Source organism: Homo sapiens, chromosome 13 (genome assembly GCF_000001405.40).
Source record: "Homo sapiens chromosome 13, GRCh38.p14 Primary Assembly".
Taxonomy (NCBI): Eukaryota; Metazoa; Chordata; class Mammalia; order Primates; family Hominidae; genus Homo; species Homo sapiens.
In genome coordinates this window covers 107,876,229-107,899,004 of record NC_000013.11, presented here as the reverse complement: position 1 = coordinate 107,899,004, position 22,776 = coordinate 107,876,229, and the positions used below count along the sequence as shown (strand labels likewise).

Here is a 22,776-nt window from a genome sequence, read left to right as displayed (position 1 = left end):
ATTATCCGTATGATTTAGCCACATCATCTCTGAACTTTGTGGTTTTTGATTGGTTATTTTAGAGCTCTGATTGTTTTCTTAATTTTTCCAGATCATTATAAAATACTGGATTACAGTTCATTCACTTTGTGACCCTGGATTTCTGGTGTTTTTTCATTATCTGTTAACATGTGAGTAGGGTTACTTTAATTTTTCTCCTCAGAGTAGCTTTTTATGGATTACAGTATATTTCTTTTTTGTCATCCCATTGCATGAGGTGACAGGAAACAGAAGGGCTAGAGCAGCTTTCTTGGTTTTCTGGTTCATGGGTTCCCTCATCTGTTGTTTTCCTAAAGGATTCACAATATAACCTCACCCTCTCTGAGAAGCCACTTTGGTCTCTCTAAAGGAAGCTTTGACCAGTGTGGCAGTTAATTTTATACATCATATTGGCTGAGCTAAGGGATGTTCAGATAGCTGGTAAAAAAAACACGATTTCTGGGTGTGTCTGCAGGGGTGTTTCCAGAAGAGATTGGTGGTTAAATCAGTGACTGGGTAAAGCAGATCACCTCACCCTTCCCAGTGTGGGTGGGCACCATACAATCCTTTGAAGGCTCCAGTAGAACAAAAAGATGAAGGAAGTGTACCTTCTCGTTCTCTCCCTCTCTCCTTGAACTGGAAATCCTGCTTCTCTTGCCCTTTGACATAGAACTCCTGGTTCTAGGGGCTTTCTGACCCTGGGAGTCACACCATTGCTGCCCCAATTCTCAGGTCTTGGACTCAGACTGAGTTCCATCACCAGCTTTCCTGATTTGTCCGCTTGCAGATGACATACAGTGGGACTTCCAGGTCTCCAAGATTGTGTGAGCAAATTTTCATAAGAAATCTCCTCTTATTGATCTCTATGCAGCCTGTTGGTTCTGTTTCTGTGGAGAACCCCAACTGATATGCTCCAGATCATTATTTTCCTTCTGCCCCAGCCCAAGCCCCAGGCTCACGGGCATTGCAGTGTCTGTGGCCTCCCAGGCTCAAGCACCCTATTGCTTCCTCAGACTTCTTGGATCTGCTTCTCCTGGTCTGCAGGTTTGCAGCTTCAGGCACCTCATTTCTTCCCCACACTTCTTTGGATCTGCTTCTCTTTTTTGGGCCCCTTGAGCCTTCTCTCACTCTTGCTGTCAGTGTTTTTTCTCTGCTGACTTTGAACTCTGAGTCTCTAGTCTTCCCTTGGGATGAGGTTCTCTTCTGGAGGAGAGGGCCTGCTGGTATTTCTGAGACTCTCAAGGGCTTATTCCAGTCAGGTGTTATTGGAGGGCACCCCCTCCCAGATTTTTGTGCTTGCCAGCAACCTGTAGACTATGAGAATTTTCTGCTTTTGCCTGTGGTTCTTAGTCCTCCTGAGAGGTAAAGCCAGCTGGACTTCCTGGGTCGGGTAGGGACTTGGAGAACTTTTCTGTCTAGCTAAAAGATTGTAAGTGCACCAATCAGCGCTCTGTGTCTAGCTAAAGGTTTGTAAATGCACCAATCAGCACTCTGTAAAAACACTCCAATCAGCACTCTGTGTCTAGCTAAAGGTTTGCAAATGCACCAATCAGCACACTCTGTGTCTAGCTAAAGGTTTGTAAATGCACCAATCGGCACTCTGTAAAATGGACCAATCAGCACTCTGTAAAATGGACCAATCAGCAGGACATGGGCGGGGCCAAATAAGGGAATAAAAGCTGGCCACCTGAGCCAGCAATGGCAACCCACTCGGGTCCCCTTCCATGCTGTGGAAGCTTTGTTCTTTCGTTCTTCACAACAAATCTTGCTGCTGCTCACTCTTTGGGTCCACACTACCTTTAAGAGCTGTAACACTCACTGTGAAGGTCTGCAGCTTCACTGCTGAAGTCAGCCAGATCACGAACTCACCAGGAGGAACAAACAGCTCCGGACATACCATCTTTAAGAGCTGTAACATTCACTGCAAAAATCTGCAGCTTCACTCCTGATGTCAAGCGAGACCACGAACCCACCGGAAGGAAGAAACTCCGGACACATCTGAACATCTGAAGAAACAAATTCTGGAGACACCATCTTTAAGAACTGTAACACTCACCACAAGGGTCTGCGGCTTCATTCTTGAAGTCAGTGAGACCAAGAAGCCACTGGAAGGAAGGAACCAATTCTGGACACATTTTGGCGACCATGAAGGTACAATCACCAAATGGTGAGTACCATCGGACCTTTTTCACTTGCTATTCTGTCCTATTTTTCCTTAGAATTCGGGGGCTAAATACCGGGCAATTGTCGGCCAGTTAAAAGCTACTAGCGTGGAAGCCGGACTAAAGACATGGTTGTCAGGTTTTCTGGGAAAGGCCTTTCTAACAACTCCTAACTCTTTGGAGTTGGGAGCGTTCGTTTGCCTGGAACCAGCTTCCGCTTTTCTCGTACTTCTGGGTTGAGCCGAGGGTTGACAGATAGGAAAGCCATTCAACTCCGGGGTCCCGACAGCAAGTTGGTTGACCCTGCAGCCATGAGCAGAACTCTCAAAGTCATGTCGCCCAAGTGAGACTCGCCCATCTATCCTATCTATCCTGACCCTTGCCTCCTGGGTCCTAATGCCTGTCAGACAAACTTCCTTTTGCCTCTCTTCTCCGAGGCTAGTCCCGCTTCTAAAAACCACTCGCTGTCTCTGATGCTTTTCTAGTTTCTCCTATAAGAATGATTTCTAGTATAAACTCCAGGACTCTGTTACCTTCTTTAGGCACCCGGGCTCACCAATCAGAAAGACATAATTTTTGCCCAAAGCCCCATCGTAGGGGGGACTATCTGGAATTCTAGGATCCCTCCTCAGACAAGCAGGCCTAACAAAAGCTTATTCCTGAATCTAGGATATGGGGAGCCTCAGAAATTGTATCCTTCCTATTCATGTAAGTGAGGACAAAAGGCATCACCTTTCTAACTCTAGAGATCCCTTCCCTCCCTCAGGGTATGGCCCTCAACTTCATTTTTGGGGCATAACATCTTTATAGGACATGGGTAAAGGCCCAATACTAACAGGAGAATGCTTAGGACTCTTTAACAGGTTTTCAAGAATGCGTCAGTAAGGGCCACTAAATCTGATTTTTCTTGGTCCTCTTTGTGTTCTAGGAAGACAGGCAAGGGTGCAGGTTTTTGAGAATGCATTGGCAAGGGCCACTAAATCCAACATTCCTTGGTCCTCCTTGTGATCTAGGAGGAAAACTAGTGTTTCTGCTGCTGCATCGGTGAGCACAACTATTCCAATCAGAGGGTCCAGGGTTCTTGGGCAAGAGGTGTTTCTGCTGCTGCATCGGTGAGTGCAACTATTCTGATCAGCAGGGTCCAGGGACTGTTGTGGGTTTTGGGGCAGGGGGAGAAACAAACAAACCAAAACCATGGGCAGTTTTGTCTTTTAGATGGGAAACACTCAGTCATCAACAGGCTTACCCTTGAAATGCATCCTAAGCCTTTGATACCAATTTGACCTGCAAATCCTGTAAAAGAGGTGGCTCATTTTTTTCTGCACTACATCCTGGCCCCAATATTCTCTCTCTGATGGAGAAAAATGGCCACCTGAGGGAAGTATAAATTACAATACTATCCTGCAGCTTGACCTTTTCTGTAAGAGAGAAGGCAAATGGAGTGAAATACCTTATGTCCAAGCTTTCTTTTCGTTGAAGGAGAATACACAACTATGCAAAGCTTTGAATTTACATCCCACAGGAGGACCTTTCAGCTTACCCCCCTATCCTAGCCTCCCTATAGCTCCCCTTCCTATTAATGATAAGCCTCTTCTAATCTCCCCTGCCCAAAAGGAAACAAGCAAAGAAATCTCCAAAGGACCACAACAAACCCTGGGCTATCTGTTATGTCCCCTTCAAGCTGTAGGGGGAGGCAAATTTGGCCCAACCTGGGTACATGTCCCCTTCTCCCTCTCTTGATTTAAAGCCGATCAGTGAAGACCTGGGAAAGTTTTCAGACGATCCCGATAGGTACATAGATGTCCTACAGAGTCTAGGGCAAACCTTCGATCTCACTTGGAGAGATGTCATGCTATTGTTAGATCAAACCCTGGCTTTTAATGAAAAGAATATGGCTTTACCTACAGCCCAAGAGTTTGGAGATACCTGGTATCTTAGCCAAGTAAATGATAGAACGACTGCCAAAGAAAGGGACAAATTCCCTACCAGTCAGCAAGCAATCCCCAGTATGGATCCCCACTGGGACCTTGACTCAGATCATAGGGACTGGAGTAATAAACATCTGTTGACCTGTGTTGTAGAAGGACTAAGGAGAATTAGAAAAAAGCCCATGAATTATTCAGTGATGTCCACCATAACTCAGGGAAAGGAAGAAAATCCTTCTGTCTTCCTCAAGCAGCTACAGGAGGCCTTAAGAAAATATACTCCCCTGTCACCTGACGCACTCGAGGGTCAATTGATCCTAAAAGATAAGTTTATTATCCAATCAGCTGCAGATATCAGGAGAAAGCTCTAAAGGCGAGCCCTAGGCCCTGAACCAAATCTGGAGGCATTATTAAACCTGGCAACCTCGGTGATCTATAATAGGGACCAAGAGGAACAGGCCCAAAAGGAAAAGCGAGATCAGAGAAAAGCTGTAGCCTTAGTCATGTCCCTCAGACAAACAAACCTTGCTGGTTCAGAGAGGACAGAAAATGGCGCAGGCCAGTCACCCCGTAGGGCTTGTTATCAGTGTGGTTTATAAGGACACTTTAAAAAAGATTGTCCAACGAGAAACAAGCTGCCCCCTCATCCACGTCTGCTATGCGGAGGCAATCACTGGAAGGCACACTGCCCCAGAGGACGAAGGTTCCCTGGGCCAGAAGCCCCCAACCAGATGATCCAACAACAGGACTGAGGGTGCCCGGGGCAAGCGCCAGCTCATGTCATCACCCTCACTGAGCCCCAGGTATGTTTAACCATTGAGGGCCAGGAAATTGACTTCCTCCTGGACACTGGTGCAGCCTTCTCTGTGTTAATCTCCTGTCCCAGACGACTGTCTTCAAGGTCCGTTACCATCCAAGGAATCCTGGGACAGCCTGTAACCAGGTATTTCTCCTACCTCCTCAGTTGTAATTGGGAGACTTTGCTCTTTTCATGTGCCTTTCTTGTTATGCCTGAAAGTCCCACACTCTTTATTAGGGAGGGATATATTAGCCAAAGCTGGAGCTATTATCTACATGAATATGGGGAACAAGTTACCCATTTGTTGTCCCCTACTTGAGGAGGGAATCAACCCTGAAGTCTGGGCATTGGAAGGACAATTTGGAAAGGCAAAAAATGCCCGCCCGGTCTAAATCAGACTAAAAGATCCCACCACTTTTCCTTATCAAAAGCAATATGCCTTAAGGACTGAAGTTCATAAAGGATTACACGATATTTTTAAACATTTAAAAGCTCAAGCCTTAGTAAGGAAATGCAGCAGTCCCTGCAACACCCCAATTCTAGGAGTACAAAAACTGAATGGTCAGTGGAGACTAGTGCAAGATCTTAGACTCATCAATGAGGCAGTAATTCCTCTATATGCAGTTGTACCCAACCGCTATACCCTGCTCTCTCAAATACCAGAGGAAGCAGGATGGTTCATTGTTCTGGACCTCAAGGATGCCTTCTTCTGTATTCCCATACACTCTGACTCCCAGCTTCTCTTTGCCTTTGAGGATCCCACAGACCACATGTCCCAACTTGTGTGGACGGTCTTGCCCCAAGGGTTTAGGGATAGCCCTCACCTGTTTGGTCAGGCAGTGGCCCAAGATCTAGGCCACTTCTCAAGTCCAGGCACTCTGGTTCTTCAGTATGTGGATGATTTACTTTTGGCTACCAGTTTGGAAGCCTCATGCCAGCAGGCTACTCTAGATCTCTAGAACTTTCTAGCTAATCAAGGGTACAAGGCATCTAGATCGAAGGCCCAGCTTTGCCTAATTCAGGTCAAATATCTTGGCCTAATCTTAGCCAGAGGGACCAGGACCCTCAGCAAGGAATGAATACAGCCTATACTGGCTTATCCTCACCCTAAGACATTAAAACAGTTGCAAGAGTTCCTTGGAATCACTGGCTTTTGCCAACTATGGATCCCCAGATACAGCGAAATAGCCAGGCCCCTCTATACTCTAATCAAGGAGACCTAGAGGGCAAATACTCATCTAGTAGAATGGGAACTAGGGGCAGAAACAGCCTTCAAAACCTTAAAGCAGGCCCTAGTACAAGCTCCAGTTTTAAGCCTTCCCACAGGACAAAACTTGTCTTTATACATTACAGAGAGAGCAGGGATAGCTCTTGGAGTCCTTACTCAGACTCGTGGGACAACCCCACAACCAGTGGCATACCTAAGTAAGGAAATTGATGTAGTAGCAAAGGGCTGGCCTCACTGTTTAAGGGTAGTTGTGGTGGTGGCCGTTTTAGTGTCAGAGGCTATCAAAATAATACAAGGAAAGGATCTCACTGTCTGGACTACTAATGATGTAAATGGCATACTAGGTGCCAAAGGAAGTTTATGGCTATCAGACAACTGCCTACTTAGATACCAGGCGCTACTTCTTGAGGGACCAGTGCTTCAAATACGTATGTGCACGGCCCTCAACCCTGCCACTTTTCTCCCAGAGGATGGGGAACCAATCAAGCATGACTGCCAACAAATTATAGTCCAGACTTATGCAGCCCAAGATGATCTCTTAGAAGTTCCCTTAGCGAATCCTGACATTAACCTATATACCGATGGAAATTCATATGTGGAGAATGGGATACGAAGGGCAGGTTATGCCATAGTTAGTGATGTAACCGTACTTGAAAGTAAGCCTCTTCCTCCAGGGACCAGGGCCCAGTTAGCAGAACTAGTGGCACTTACCTGAGCCTTAGAACTGGGAAAGGGAAAAAGAATAAATGTATATACAGATAGCAAGTATGCTTATGTAATCCTACATGCCCATGCTGCAATATGGAAAGAAAGGGAATTCCCAACCTCTGGGAACCCCCATTAAATACCACAAGAGCCCCTTGTGTCTCTTTCCTGCCTTCCTTTCACCTCACAGTCTGATGCCTTTCTTTTCTTTTCTTTTTTTTTAGTCTTAAATATGTCCAATTTTTATTTGACAATTAAGCTATTTTTCTTTTTTTTTTTAACTGATTTCACATTTCTTTTTTTTTTTATACTTTAAGTTTTAGGGTACATGTGCACATTGTGCAGGTTAGTTACATATGTATACATGTGCCATGCTGGTGCGCTGCACCCACTAACTCGTCATCTAGCATTAGGTATATCTCCCAGTGCTATCCCTCCCCCCTCCCCCCCACCCCACCACAGTCCCCAGAGTGTGATATTCCCCTTCCTGTGTCCATGTGATCTCATTGTTCAATTTCCACCTATGAGTGAGAATATGCGGTGTTTGGTTTTTTGTTCTTGCGATAGTTTAAACTTTCAAATAAAGACTTGTCTTATTGTTGTAAACGTGTTTTCTCATTATTCATTCACAGACAGCATAAGTTACTGTTACATATAACTTTTTTTAAAGCAATTACAAAAAGTCATACGTGACACACCCTAAGTGATTAAAAACTCAGGAAAAAAGATAAACAGATAAAGAACAGAAAAGAGGCTGGATGCAGTGGCTCACTTCCATAATCCCAGCACTTTGGGAGGCCGAGGCAGAAGGATCACTTGAGCCCAGGAGTTTGAGACCAGACTGGGCAACATGGCAAAACCTCATCTCTACAAAAAATAATAACTAAAATATTGCCAGGCATAGCATAGTCCCAGTTACTCAGAAGGCTGAGGTGGGAGGATTGCTTGAGCCCAGGAGGTGAAGGTTGCAGTAAGCCAAGATTGTGCTATCGCACTCCAGCCTGGGTGACAGAGATCCTGTCTCAAAAAAAAAAAAAAAAAAAAAAAAAAAAAGCAGAAGAAATATAATCCCTATGATTCCTTATATGACATCTCTGGAGTTCTAGGGATGGATGATTATGATGGTTGCATGGCAATGGCAGTATGTTTAATACCACTGAAGTGTAACTTTAAAGATAGTTAGGATGGTAAATTTTGTGTTATGTGTATTTTAGCACAATGAAAAACAGGTATTTACTTCATCACATTATTTTTCCCCTCTACTGCCTCATCTCCGTAATCCTACTCACTCACCTGTACAGAGCCATGTCCTGGGAATAGTTTGGTGAGTTTCCTCTCTAAACTTTCCAATATACATAGAAGAGATGCACATACAGGGTTTTAAAATTTTAATTTGGATCAATTTATGTTGACAGTTATTGGTTTTTACCCCTTTAAGAATACGTGTTCACAATCTTTCTATGTCAGTTTCCATGGCTCTCATTAACTTAATAGCCACACTTCATAGAAAATATCATTAACTATTATTTAATTGTTTTCTGTTAATGGAAAATTAGAGTTTTCCTCACTTTTTATATCAATTAAATACGCTGTTATCTTACACATCTTTATACATATCTTTTGGCTCACATGGAAAAGTCTTGCTAAAAGGTATAGTTCTAGAATATGCTGAGATTTACTCCAAACTGTGGAGATGGTGGAATTGGAATTTTTGGAGTTGCAAAAATTAATGCCAAATTAAAATACCACCGAATACAGGACAGCCCCTACTACTCCCTTTCTTCACCATTCTGACCTTTCTCTGACCTCCAGATTTTTCTGTCTGTTGCATGTTTTCACTTGTGTGTGCTACGCAGCTTCTGTTACTTTGAGATTCTGTTCTTCCTTTTGCTACTTGTGAGCTGCATTCCATCACAGCCTTTCCCACGGAGGACCGCCATACTGAGTGTCTTGATAATGCTGCCTTCCACACACAGCACACTCTTTATTTGGTATATAGAGCATCCTTTGGGATGTCCCATGGGTTATGCTCAGCCGGGGTTCTGGCCTCAAGTGTTGTATTCACTAGCATGCCCACTCCTCAGGGCCTGTAAGCTTTCCTCCATCATCTCCCATGGGGGTCTGCATTTTTCTTTCATTGAGACCCAACCACCATTTCTTACAAGCTTCCAAGAGCCACACTAGTAGCAGCTTAGCACCTTTTCCAGGAGATCATGCCAAGGTGTTACCCTTGTACCCCAAGAGAGTTTTCCCATCTTAATAAATTATCCCTTACACAACTTTATTTTCTGCCCCTCTTGATTCAGTTCCTGGATCCTGAGAGTTTCGCAGAGGTAATACAGCTTTTCTAGTTATTCTCCCCTTGGAGGCCAGGCAATTTCTCAATTAGAATATGCTTAGATTTACTCCAAATTCTGGGGCTGGTGGTCAGCAAAAGAGGCAGGTATATATAGGTAGACTCTAAGGAAACATTTATAGTCTGCAAAGCAGAGGCTTCTGTGCCATTATAAAGCAAGGGGAGCACTAGCCTTTAAAGGAGAAACAGGGACACATTCTTCAGTGCAGAGGGTTTGGAAGAATCTACGGAGTCCAGAATTTCTGGTGCATTGACCCAGATGTTCTTATCCGAAGTGTCAGAGTCCATCAGACCTCCAACTTGTGTAGCAGATCTGCTGGAGCTGAAATTTTAATCTTCTCTGGAGATTCTCTAACTTTGTAATTAACACTTGGGCATGGATATGGTTTGAATTTGTGTCTCCATCCAAATTTCATATCAAATTCTAATCCTCAGTGTTGATGGAGAGGCCTGGTGGGAGGTGATTGGATCATGGAGGTGGATTTCTCCCTTACTGTTCCCATGATAGTGAGTGAGTTATTATGAGATTTGGTTGTTTACAAGTATGTAGCACCTCCCTCTTCTCTCTCTTCCTCCTTTTCTGGCCATGTAAGATGTATCTGCTTTCCCCTTCACCATCTGACACAATTGTAAGTTTCCTGAGGCCTCCCAGCCATGCTTCCTGCAGAGCCTGCAGAACTGTGAGTTGATTAAACCTCTTTTTAGAAATTATCCAGTCTCAGGTAGTTCTTTATAGCAATTCAAGAATAGACTAATACACAAAATTGGCATCAGGAATGGGGTACTGCTGTAAAGATACATGAAAATGAGGAAGTGATTTTGGAACTTGGTAATGGGCAGAGGTTGGAACAGTTTGAAAGACTCAGAGGAAGACAGGAAGATGAGGGAGCCTGGAACTTCCTAGAGACTTATTCAATTGTTGTGACCAAAATGCTGATAGTGATATGAACAATAAAGTCCAGGAGAAATGAGGAACTTATTGGGAAGTGGAGAAATGCCACTTTTGTTATGCATTAGAAAAGAGGGTGGAGGCATTGTGCCCCTGCCCTAGAGATCTGTGGAACTTTAAACTTGAGAGTAATGATTTAGGGTATCTGGTAGAAGAAATTTCTAAGCAGCAAAACATTCAAGATGTGGCCTGGCTGCTTCTAGCACCCTATACTTATATTCATCAGCAAAGAAATGACCTGAAACTGGAACTTATATTCAAAAAGGGAAGCAGAGTGTAAAGGTTTGAAAAATGGGTCTGAATAACCCATTTTCCAGGGAGAAATTCAAGCTGGCTGCAAAAATTTGCATAGCAAAGAGGAGCTGAATGCTAATAGCCAAGACAAAGGGGAAAAATGACTTGAAGGCATTTCAGAGAACTTTGTGGCAGTTCTGGAAGCCCAGGAGAAAAGAATGGTTTCATGGGCTGGGCCCATGGCCCCGCTGCCCTGTGCAATCTCAGGACACTGCTTTTTGTGTCCCAGCCACTCCATCTCCAGCTGTGGCAAAAGGGCCCCAGATACTCCTCAGGTCACTGCTCCAGAAGGTGCAAGCCATAAGCCTGGTGGCTTCCATGTGGTGTTAAGCCTGTGAGTGTGCAGAGAGCAAGAGTTAGGCTTGGGAGCCTCTGCCTAGATTTCAGAGGATGTATGGAAACACCTGGATGTCTAGGCAGAAGTCTTCTTCAGGGGCATAGCCCTCATGCAGAACTTCTTCTAGGGCAGTGCAGATGGGAAATGTGGGGTTGGAGCCTCCACACAAAGTCCCCTCTGGGGCACTGCTAGTGGAGCTGTGAGAAGCTCCAGCCCCAACAGTGGTAGATCCTCCAGACCCCACAATAGTAGATCCACTGAGAGCTTGCACCATGTATTTGGAAAAGCCACAGGAACTCAATGCCAGCCCATGAAAGCAGCTGTACCATGTGGAGGCATGGGGACAGAGAGGCCTAAGGCCTTGGGAGTCCACTCCTCGCATCAGTGTGGATGTGAGACATGGAGTCAAAGGAGATTATTTTGGAGCTTTCAGATTTAATGACTGCCCTGCTGTGTTTCAGACTTGCATAGGCCTGTAGCCCCTTTGTTTTGCCTGATTTTTCCCTCTTCAAATAGGTGTATTTACCCAGTTCCTGTACCTCCATTGTATCTTGGAAGTAACTAAATTGCTTTTGACTTTACAGGTTTATAGGTGGAAGGGACTTGCCTTGTTTCAGATGAGACTTTGGACTATGGACTTTTGAGTTAATACTAAAATGAGTTAAGACTTGGGGGACTGTTGAGAAGGAAGCATTATATTTTGCAATGTGAGAAGGACATGAGATTTGGGAGGAGCAGAATGATATGGTTTGGATTTGTGTCCCAAACCTCAAGTTGAATTGTAAACCCCAGTGTTGGAGGAGGGGCCTGGTGAGAGGTGATTGGATCATGGGAGCAGAGCACCTCCCACCTCTCTGTCTTCTTTCTCCAGCCATGTAAGATATGCCTGCTTAATCTTTGCCTTCCACCATGATTATAAGTTTCCTAAGGCCTCCCGAGTCATGCTTCCTATACAGCCTATGGAACTGTAAGTCAATTAAGCCTTTTTCTTTATAAATTACCCAGTCGTCAGGGCGCAGTGGCTCATGCCTGTAATCCCAGCACTTTGGGAGGCCGAGGCAGGCAGATCATGAGGTCAGGAGATCGAGACCATCCTGGCTAACACAGTGAAAACCCATCTCTACTAAAAGTACAAAAAATTAGCCAGGTGTGGTGGCAGGTGCCTGTAGTCCCAGCTACTCAGGAGGCTGAGGCAGGAGAATGGCGTGAACCCAGGAGGTGGAGCTTACAGTGAGCTGACATTGTGCCACTGCACTCCAGCCTGGGCAACAGTGCAAGACTCCATCTCAAAAAAAAAAAAAAAATTACCCAATCTCAGGTAGTTCTTTATAGCAATGCAAGAATGGACTAATAGAGGTGTCATCAGCAGGTCTTTTCACCTTTTGGTTGCAGGGGATAAAGTTTCTTTATGGCTGCCTTGGAGAGCCTCTGACTTCCACACTGTTTCAGAATACCCTTGGTTTTGGCTCCATTGGCCGTCCGATTTCATGGTCTTTATAGCTAGTGCTTCACTCATACTTCTCAAATGCCTTGGCTATTTCATCAGTTAGTGAATTTATTTCCACAGCTTCAGACTTTGCATCAGTAAATATTTTTAAAATTGCACCGCCGCAGAGTTTAACACTTACCACCAATGGGGTCCTCATTGCCAGCCATCTTGTCAGAAATCCTAATCCCATTTTGTGTTATTTTCCTTGGACTACTTTTGTTGCCACTTATCTTACGTAGAGTCCCTGGAGATAGACTCAAAGGGAGAAGTTTGTATGAAGAAGTTTTATTGAGGAATGCACCCTGAAACAAAACCTCCAGGAAATGAGAGAAGCAGGGTTGGGCAGAGGAAGGAGCTGGATTGTGCTGTAGTTAGAAGCCTCAGACAATCCAATGAGGAGCTCTTGACTTGGGCAAGTCCATCAGAATTGCCCTAATTGAGGAAATGGGGCTAATCCTTCATTCCTTTACACTGACTGGTTATTTAATGGGGTATAACCTTGGGCAAGGAAGTTCGCCTTGAGTTATGGCAATTCCTAAGTAGGAGTTCAGCTGAATACTGAAAGTATCCAATGCTCCCTGCAGCCTGAAGAATTAGTGCCTCAGTCATGAAAAGAGTATATTTTAATAACACACTGAAAGCTAAATTCTGAAATGACATTTCTGTGTGCATAATTCTGAGAGTTTGTGGAGCAGATTTCTAGAATGTGCTCCTACAAATACCCCTGACTGTGATGTTATCAAACTAGCCTCTCTCACACTGCCACTAAGATCAAATGTCTAAAATGCAAAATCCGATTGTTATTTCAGAATTTTTCCAATTACTTTAGTGACATTCTCTTGTGTGCAGAGTAAAGTCTAAATATGGTGAAATAGGCATAGGCTTGTTTGTACAATCTAGCCTCCATTCTCCATTTCTTTGTAGAGAACCACACAACTTTAATTTGTCAGAGCCATGCTCGTTCATTTCTTATGCTTTAGCTATAGCACAATGATTATCACTTGTTGACAGCCCTGGTAAATGAGAAAATTTTACTCTTTCTCCAAATTTTACTCCATTAGAGAAATGGTTTAGAAATGGGCACTTCATCATATCAGAGTCAAGGAAATACAGTGGAACTTTGGCTGAGGCTGAAGTTGAGAGAGTATGAGGCTCAAGCACCTGTGATCAGGAGTCAGTCTGAGAACAGAGCCAGTGGAATAGAATGCAGAGCCAAGTGATAAGAATAAAAAGTGGCCTGAATCCCACAAATCTGAAGCCAGTAACTTTAGTTACATGAGTGAAAGAATCCCAATTGATACTGAATTTTAAATTGAGAATAGGGTTTTGAAGTAAGAGTAGTGATGATGTAAAATATGAGAGTGACTGCCTAAATCATGAAATTAGTTGGGGTATCTCTCGAGGTAGGCAATATCCGAAGACGGAAAGTTGGGAATTCTTGTGATTTGGAGGTACAGTAGACACTTGAGCACAACCTTGTGAATATTGAGTCCCAGAAATATACATCTAGGAGGGTATACACCTGGGAGGGTAAGCATTAAAAACATAGTAGAAAAAAGTCAGGATCTTACAGTCAACAGGAAGAAACATGTGCCAAGCTGATGTTGAAACTAGCCCATCTGACAACAGTGATGCCTCTGCTTTCAGCCTGTGATGGAAAAGAATCAGACCTCTAATAGTTGGGATATTTGCATGGTTAGAAAAAGCAAATCCCCAGTCCTAAGCTAAATGTAGAGAAAATACAGGCTAGAAGGAAAGGCAGAAGAAAAAGGCTAGAAGAAAAGCCAGCCATTGAAAGTAATGGTGAAAACCAGAATTACTTTTGCACCAACCTAATATTTTAGAACCTGAGAGAATCCTGTTTCTCAAGGCCAATCCTTAGCACCTCCTGTTATCCATCTCTACCAGATGGGGAATCAGTTGCCTTCATTGTTGGGATGCTGCTGGCATGGAGCCTGGGGGTCAGAGGAAGACCCATACCTCTTTACTTCATGCCATTGATTCATATTGCCCTGTTGTATGGGCTCAATTAAATGCCTCCAGTTCATGGGCCTGAGCATAGATACTTATGAGCAAAGAAATGGACATTCACCAGCCAGATTTCAAATTCAGAGATTACAACTGAGCAAGAGTTTTGGCTTTGGTCAATATCTTATGAAAATGACCAGAAAAAATACTAGCTTGGTAATACATTTATTTACTATTGTTTTGTATTTTCTCTAGATATTTATACATGCATCTATTACTTTTACTTTTGTCATTTTAGTTCTAGAATTTATGGTTGATTCAATTTTAGGGTTTCTCTGATACAACTTTTCATCATATTGAACACGCCAATTAAAAAGCATCTGAAATCTTATGCCCAATTTCTGGATCTTCTGTAGATTTGTTTTTATTGTTTGATTTTTCTCCAAAAATTCTGTTATGCTGTCTTTTGATAGACTTGATCATTTGCTTATTACATTCCAAATGATGATGTGAAACACTATAGAGATAATTTTAAAATCTAAGTGATGTTATATTTCTCATGGGAGGTTTTCGTTTGTACCAGGTAGCCAGTTAGGGTAGACACAGAGCACCACAATCTAATCAGGGATCAATCTGCTTCAAATTTAGGCTTCAGACCTTATAAAGGCCAGCCATTTTTCTAGTTCTCTTTCCATCTTCTACTCTGTAAATGTTTGAGGCTCCTGACTACACGCCTGAGATATTTACTGTGGTCTCTCCCTTTTGGTGGACCTGAGTCACTTCCCTTCCCCTCACTCCCACAGTTGCTTCTTTCAGTTTAGCTAGAAAGCCTCTTCACTGTTGCTCTGAATTGACAGGATCCTGAAGAGCAGTTTGGAATGTGGGACTTACCGTGGTGTGTCACAGCTGCCACAGAGATATATTTTATATTTTATTTGGCTTTCCAAGCTGGAAGAAGCCTGTCTTTCAACAATGGAAGTGGAAGTTTCTCCGCTTTTGATAAATGGCCGTTCGTGTTCCACAGTGCTGTGCTGGGTATGTTTGGGAGTAGTCAGGCTTGTTACTTATCTACAGTTGCCAGACCGTGAGAAGTCGCATCTGTACCCAATGTTATGGCATATCATTCAGAGATCCTGGACATGGAGGCAGACGTTGGGACTCCAAGATGAAAAAGTAGGTTATATTATTTTAATAAATACTCTTTTTTTCTTCTCACTATCCCCTTTCTCCTTGTGATTATAGTACCCCGTCTTTTTATTCCGGGTCTCCTCAACCCATGTAGTTTCTGCAAAGCTAACTTCACTGCTGGATTTCTGAATAAAACACATTCTCCAGACTAACCTCTTCAACATGTTCCATCCTCTTGGTCATGCTGATTGGTTCAAGGATGGACTCTAGGACCAAGCCGGATTCAGTAGGAGTAAGATACCTCAATTACAGGGACCTTATGTTCAACCTTGTATCTCCAGAAGCCACAACATGGACCTTAAAAACGAAGCCAGCACAGTGCTGAGGGAATTAGAGAGACTGAGTTAAATATAAATACACACAAAGCCAGCTCGGCTCCGTTCCTGGACGTTTTGGTAATAGAACACAAAATAATCATTTTTCTTTTCTGAAATTAGTTTTAAGCAACTTTTCTGTTATTTGCCAATAAATAGACCTACTTTACAGAGATTGTCTGTATTTGTAGAGGGGAGAGGGCAGCTTATGTAAACCTGTGTCTTTCGAAGGGGTTTAGATGACAAGGAGGATACATGGATGCTTGCCATTCATTGAGAGCTCTGCATCCATTCCCCCAATGCTGGTGATGGCCTCAGATTTTCACATGCAGGTCAACCACTCTTGCATTCAGCACACTCAGCCAGGGTGTGGATCAATCTCAGCTCCGGGTGTGGATCACATGAAGCAGCCTAAGCCACAGTGATTGGTTCAAGAGTAAGCACTTGGCTTAAGCCTTCCAACCACAGTGAAACTCGGGACTTTTGTGGGAGCTCCTGGAAGAGAATCTGTCATTTCTAATGGTCTTAAATTTTGAAGCATGTGGGATGGTGGCGGCTGACACAACCCTGCCATGTGAATGAAGCACCCACATGTAAGCAGAGCCAACACATCAGGAGACAGAACAGAGAGTTGGAAAATAACACTGGCAAAAAAAAAAAAAAAAAGACATTGTTTAATCCTGCATATCCAGCTATGTCTGAAAGAAAGCTTACCATGGGACTCTTCAGTTACATGAGTCAATACATTGATCTTTACTTAAGTCTATTTAGGACTTTTTTTCTATTGCTTTCAACAGAAGAATCCTAACTGATGCTCTACGTGGTTAGTTGTTCCTAGGGGAGATTGAATTATGTAGGCATAAGCAACTTTCATGCAGCAGGTTTTAGAATAAAAGCCATGTGAGATCCTATTGAATTCTGTCTTTACACATATCCACTTTCATTCAATAAATATTGATATGTGCTGTCACTCTGTTAGCCACTGTAAATACAAAAAGGCCCACTGCCCAAGAGGAGCCTACAAGAAGATAAAAAAGAACAAAAAGGGAAGATGTATGAACAAATGCAGGCAATAATTATGGGTACCTGCCAAGATGGAAGGTTCCATTGCATGTATGGTTGACCTGATGTAGATGATCCATGATGGAATTTCAGGAAGTCCATGAACCCTGTAAAATTTTGTGCAAAATACTGAGTGTATGAGCCTGTAAACCGATTTCAGAGAGAGTGTGCAGAGCTGTCATCAGAAAAGCAAAGAGATACTTTAAGAAATGGTTAAGAATTACTGAATATATTATTGTAGAAACACCAAATTTTAAAAAGTCAATAGTAAAATTGTAACTACATTGAGAACATGTTAAGGAAATGGTCATATTTCTGTTCCTAGAAAGATACATAGTTGCTATTCAATATCTATTGGTGAAATGAATTAATGAAAGACTAACTAGCTGGATCTGGAATACTCAAGGAAGACATCAGGGAAAAATCAATGTGTAAGTTGAAATTCAATGAATGAATCAGAATTTACAAGGCAAACTGGATTGGGAACGTATTTGTTCTTTCGTGATGATAAGTTTACATAATCTAAAATTTAATTTTTAAGCCCTTGAAAGTAAACTATAAAAATATCCGCCCATATTTCTGGACTGTCAGTACCATGTGGTTAAAGTACATATTTACATTGTTCACCCTTGAGTCAAGGAGAACAAGACATCTATTTCATACTTAGTGGTTGTAGAATAAGTAATGTTTCATAATGAACTGATGAATGAATACACATTACACAATATTTTGGAATTCTAATCCTTTATGTTTGTAAGTTTGGGGAGGATATGTGTATCAGTATCAGGAAATTAATCTGCCATACTTATAAAATACTTGAACAGGTAAGAGTTTATTTTCCTTTCAGTTTAGCTATATATTTTTTTCTTTTTCAACTTTTATTTTAGGTTCATGGGGTACATGTGCAAAGTTGTTATATGGGTAAATTGTGTGTCACTGGAGTTTGATGCACGAATGATTTCATCACCCAGGTAGTGAGCATAGTACCTGATAGGTAGTTTTTTTAATCTTTCCTGTCCCCCTACTCTACCCTCATGTAGGCTCTGGTGTCTATTTTTCCTCTCTTTGTGTCCACATGTACTGAATGTTTAGCTCCAACTTGTAAGTGAAAACATGCACGTTTTGGGTTTCTGATCCTGTGTTGATTTGCTTAGGATAATGGCCTCCAGCTGCATCCATGTTGTTGCAAAGGACATGATTTTGTTCTTTTTAAATGGCTATGTAGTATTCCATGGTATATATGTACCACATTGTCTTTATCTGGTCCACTATTAATGAGCATCTAGGTTAATTCCGTGTCTTTGCTATTGTGAACAGTGCTGTGATGTGCATACGAGTGCATATGTCTTTTTGGTAAAATGGTTTATATTCTTTTGGGTATATACTCAGTAATGAGATTACTGTGTGGAATGGTGGTTCTAAGTTCTTTTGGAAATCTCCAAACTTCACTCTTCAGTAGCTGAACTAATTTACATCCCCACCAGAAGTGTATAAGCATTCCTTTTTCTCCACGACCTCATCAACCTGTTACTTTCTGACTTTTTAATAACAGTCACTCTGACTGGTGTGAGATGGTATCTCATTGTAGTTTTGAATTGCATTTCTCTAATGATTCGTGATGTTGAGCATTTTGTATATGCTTGTTGGCTGCATGCATGTATTCTTTTCAGAAGTGTTTGTTCATGTCCTTTGCCCATTTTTAATGTTGTCTGCTTTTTGATTGTTGATTTAAGTTTTTTTATAGATTATTTGTCAGATGCGTAGCTGTCTGCTTTCTCTGTTGATAGTTTCTTTGCTGTGCAGAAGCTCTTTGGTTTAATTAGACTCACTTGTCTATTTTTGCAATTGCTTTTGGAGACTTTATCATGAAACCTTTGCCAGGGCCTATGTCCAGAATGGTATGTACTCGGTTTTCTTCTAAGGTTTTTTTTTTTTCAGTTTTAGGTCTTACATTTAAGTCTTTAATCCATCCTGAGTTGATTTTCATATATGGTAAAAGGAAGGGGTCCAGTTTCAATCTTCTGCATATGACTAGCCAGTTATCCATGTACCATTTATTGAATAGGGAACCCTTTTCTTATTGTTTGTTATTGTCAGCTTTGTTGAAGATCAGATGGCTGTAGGTGTGAGGCTTTATTCCTGGGTTCTCTAATCAGTTCCTTTCATCTAGGTGTCTATTTTTGTACCAGTACCATGCTGTTTTGGTTACTGTAGCCTTGTATATGGTTTGAAGTTGAGTAGTGTGATGCCTCAGGTGGTATTCTTTTTGTTTAGGATTGCTTTGGCTATTTGGGCTTTTTTGGTTCCACATAAATTTTACAATAGTTTTCTCTAATTCTGTGAAAAAAATGACATTGGTAATTGGATAGGAATAACACTGAATCTATACATTGCTAATTGCCATTGTAAATAAGCAGTATGACCATTTTAACAACATTGATTCTTCCTCTCTCTGAGTATGGAATGATTTTTCTTTTGTTTCGCCTCTGATTTCTTTCAGCAGTGTTTTGTAACTCTTGCTGTACAGATCTTTTACTTCCCTGGTTAGTTGTATTCCTAGGAATTTTATTATTTTGTGGCTATTGTGAATGAGATTGTGTTCTTGATTTGGCTGTCAGCTTGGATGTTTTTTGGTGTATGGAAATGCTACTTATTTTTGTACATTGATTTTGTATCCTGAAACTTTACCGAAGTTGATTATCAGTTCTAGGAGCCCTTGGGCAGAAATTATGGAGTTTTCTAAGTCTAGAATCATATTGCCTGCAAACAGAGATAGTTTGACTTTCTCTCTTCCTATTTGGAAGCCATTTTTTTTTTCTTTCTCTTGCCTGATTGCTCTAGCTAGGACTTTTAGTACTATGTTAAATACATGTGGTGAGAGTGGGAATCCTTGTCTTGTTCTGGTTCTCAGGAGGAGTGCTTCCAACTTTTGTCCATTCAGTATGATGTTGACTATGCGTTTGTCATAGACTGCTTTTCTTATTTTGAGGTATGTTCCTTCAACACCTAGTTTGTTGAGGGTTTTTAACATGAAGAGATGAAGAATTTTATTGAAAGCATTGTCTATGTCTGTTGAGATGAGCATGTGGTTTTAGTTTTTAGTCTTGTTAATGTGATGAATCATATTTACTGATTTGCATATATTGAACCAACCTTGCGTCCCAGGAATAAAGCTTACTTGATTGTGGTTAATGAGCTTCATGATGTGCTGCTGGATTTCATTTGCTAGTATTTTGTTAAGTACTGTTGCATCTATGTTCACCAGGGATGTTAGCCTGAAGCTTGCTTTTTTGTTGTCTCTTTATCAGCTTTTGGCATCTGAATGATGGTAGCCTCATAGAATGAGTTGGGGAGGAGTCCCCCCTCCTTCAGTTTTAGGAATATTTTCAGTAGGGCTGGTACTAGCTCTTCTTTACACATCTGGTAGAATTTAACTGTAAATTTATCTGGTCCAGGGCCTTTTCTGGTTGGTAGTTTCTTTCTTTTCTTTTCTTTTTTTTTTCATAACTGATTCAATTTTGGAACTGTTATTGATCTGTTCACGATTTCACTTTTTTCGTGGTTCAATCTTAGGTTGTATGTTTATAGGAATTTATCCATCTCTTGTAGGTGTTCTAGTTTGTGTGCAGAGGTGTTTGAATGGTCTCTGACTATTTTTGCTTTTCTGTGGGGTCAGTGGTAATGTCACCTTTGCATTTCTGATTGTGTTTATTTGGATCTCTCTCTTTTTAAAAATCTATCTAGCTAGCTATCAAATCTGATTTATTCTTTCAAATAACAAACTTTTGGTTTTGTATTCTTTGATAGGCATGCTCACATCTCAATTTCCTTCAGTTCAGCTCTGCTTTTGCTTAACTTATTTTCTGCTAGCTTTAGAGTTGGTTTGCTCTTATTTTTCTAGTTCCTCTAGGTGTGATGTTAGGTTGTTAATTTGAGATCATTCTAACTTCTTGATTTAGGCATTTAGTGCTATAAACTTTCTTCTTAATGCTGTATTATCTAGTATGTTGTATCTTTATTTTCATTAGTTTCAAGTAAGTTTTTGATTTCTGCCCCAATTTTATTCTTTACCCAAAGTCACTCAGGAGCATGTTGTTTAATTTTCATGTAATTGTATGGTTTTGAGAGATCTTCTTGGTATTGATTTCAATTTTTATAGTGTTGTGGTCTGAGAGTGGGGTTGATATGATTTTGAGGTTTTTAAATTTGTTGAGAATTGCTTTATGGCCAAGCATGTGGTCGTTCTTAGAGTATGTGCCATGTGCAGATGAGAAGAATGTATATTCTGTTGTTGTTGAGTGGAATATTCTGTAGATGTCTGGTAGGCCCATTTGTTCAAATGTCGAGTTTATGTCCTGAATATCTTTGTTACTTTTCTGCCTCCGTGATCTGTCTGACACTGTCCGTGGAGTGTTGAAGTCTCCCACTATTATTCTGTGGTTATCCAAGATTCTTCATATGTTTCTAAGAGCTTGTTTTATGACTCTGGGTGCTCCAGTGTCGGCTGCATGTATATTTAGAAGAGTTAAGTCTTTTGGTTAAATTGAACATTTTATCACTATGTAATGCCTTTGTCTTTTTTTTTTTTTTTAAATCATGGTTAGTTTAAAGCCTGTTTTGTCTGAAATGAGAATAGCAACTCCTGCTCTTTTTTGTTTTACATTTGCTTGATATATCTTTCTCCCTCCCTTTGCTTTGAGCCTATGGCTGTCATTGCAAGTGAGATGATTCTCTTGATGGCAACATATTGTTCAGTCTTGCTTCTTTGTCCAACTTGCCACTCTGTGTCTTTTTTTTTTTCTTTTGAGATGAGGTCTCTGCCATCCAGGCAGGAGTGCAGTGGCACAATCTTGGCTCACTGCAGCCTTGACCTCCCAAGCTCAAATGATCCTCCCACCTCAGCCTCCCAAGTAGCTGGGACTACAAGCATGTGCCACCATGCCCAGCTAATTTTAATTTTTTTTTTTGGTAGAGATGGGGTATTGCTATGTTGCCTAGGCTGGGCTCAGCAATCTTCCTGCCTTGCCCTCCCAAATTGCTGAGATTACAGGTGTAAACCACCATGCCCAGCCACCATCTGTGTCTTTTAAATGAGGCATTTCGCCCATTTACATTCAAGGTTAATATAGATATGTGAGGATTTGATCCTGTCATCGTATTGTCAGCTAGTTGTTATGTAGTCTTGATTGTACAGTTGCTTGATAGTATCAGTAGGCTATGTACTTAAATGTGTTTTTGTGGTGGAAGGTACTGATATTTCCCTTCCATGTTTAGCACTCCCTTGAGGACCTCTTGTAAGGCAGATATGTTGGTTATGAATTCCCTTAGCGTTTGCTTGTCTGAAGAGGATTTTATTTTTCCTTTGCTTATGAGGCTTAATTTGACTGGATATAAAATTCTTGGATGGAATTTCTTTTATTTAAGGATGCTGAATATAGGGCTCTGATCTCTTCTGGCTTGTGAAGTTTCCGCTGAAAGGTGTGCTGTTAGCCTAGTGGAGTTCCCTTTGTATCTGACCAGCACCTTCTCTCTAGCTGCCTTTAATATCTTACAGGGGTTCTGTGAATTTCCTGAATTTTCATGTCAACCTCTCTAGCAAGGTTGGGGAAATTTTTGTGGACAATATCCTCAAATATGTTTTCCAAGTTGCTTGCTCTCTCTCCATCTCTTTCAGGAATGCCAATGAATGGTAGGTTTGGTCTCTTTACATAATCTCATATTTCTTGGAGGTTTCATTCATTTAAAACATTATTTCATCTTTATTTTTATCTGCCTCTATTGATTGAAAGGAGTGGTTTTAGGCTCTGAGATTCTTTCCTCAGCTTGGCCTTTTCTGTTATTAATGATTCCAATTGTATTCTGAAATTCCTGTAGTGAATTTTTTATTTCCAGAAGTTCAGTTTGGGTCTTTCTTAAAATGTCTATGACATCTTTCAATTTTTGGATCATTTTATTCTATTCCTTGGATTGGGTTTCAACCTT

General features: G+C 41.5%; 1 annotated feature.

Moving 5' to 3' along the window:
- Nucleotides 2,973-3,142: an enhancer, noted in NCBI's record as "experimental_32038 CRE fragment used in MPRA reporter constructs". NCBI's record gives its function as "activates a minimal promoter by MPRAs in K562 erythroleukemia cells, with activity observed for both the introgressed and non-introgressed 13:108548296 variant alleles {active_cell/tissue: K562}" and the evidence as "EXISTENCE:reporter gene assay evidence [ECO:0000049][PMID:34662402]".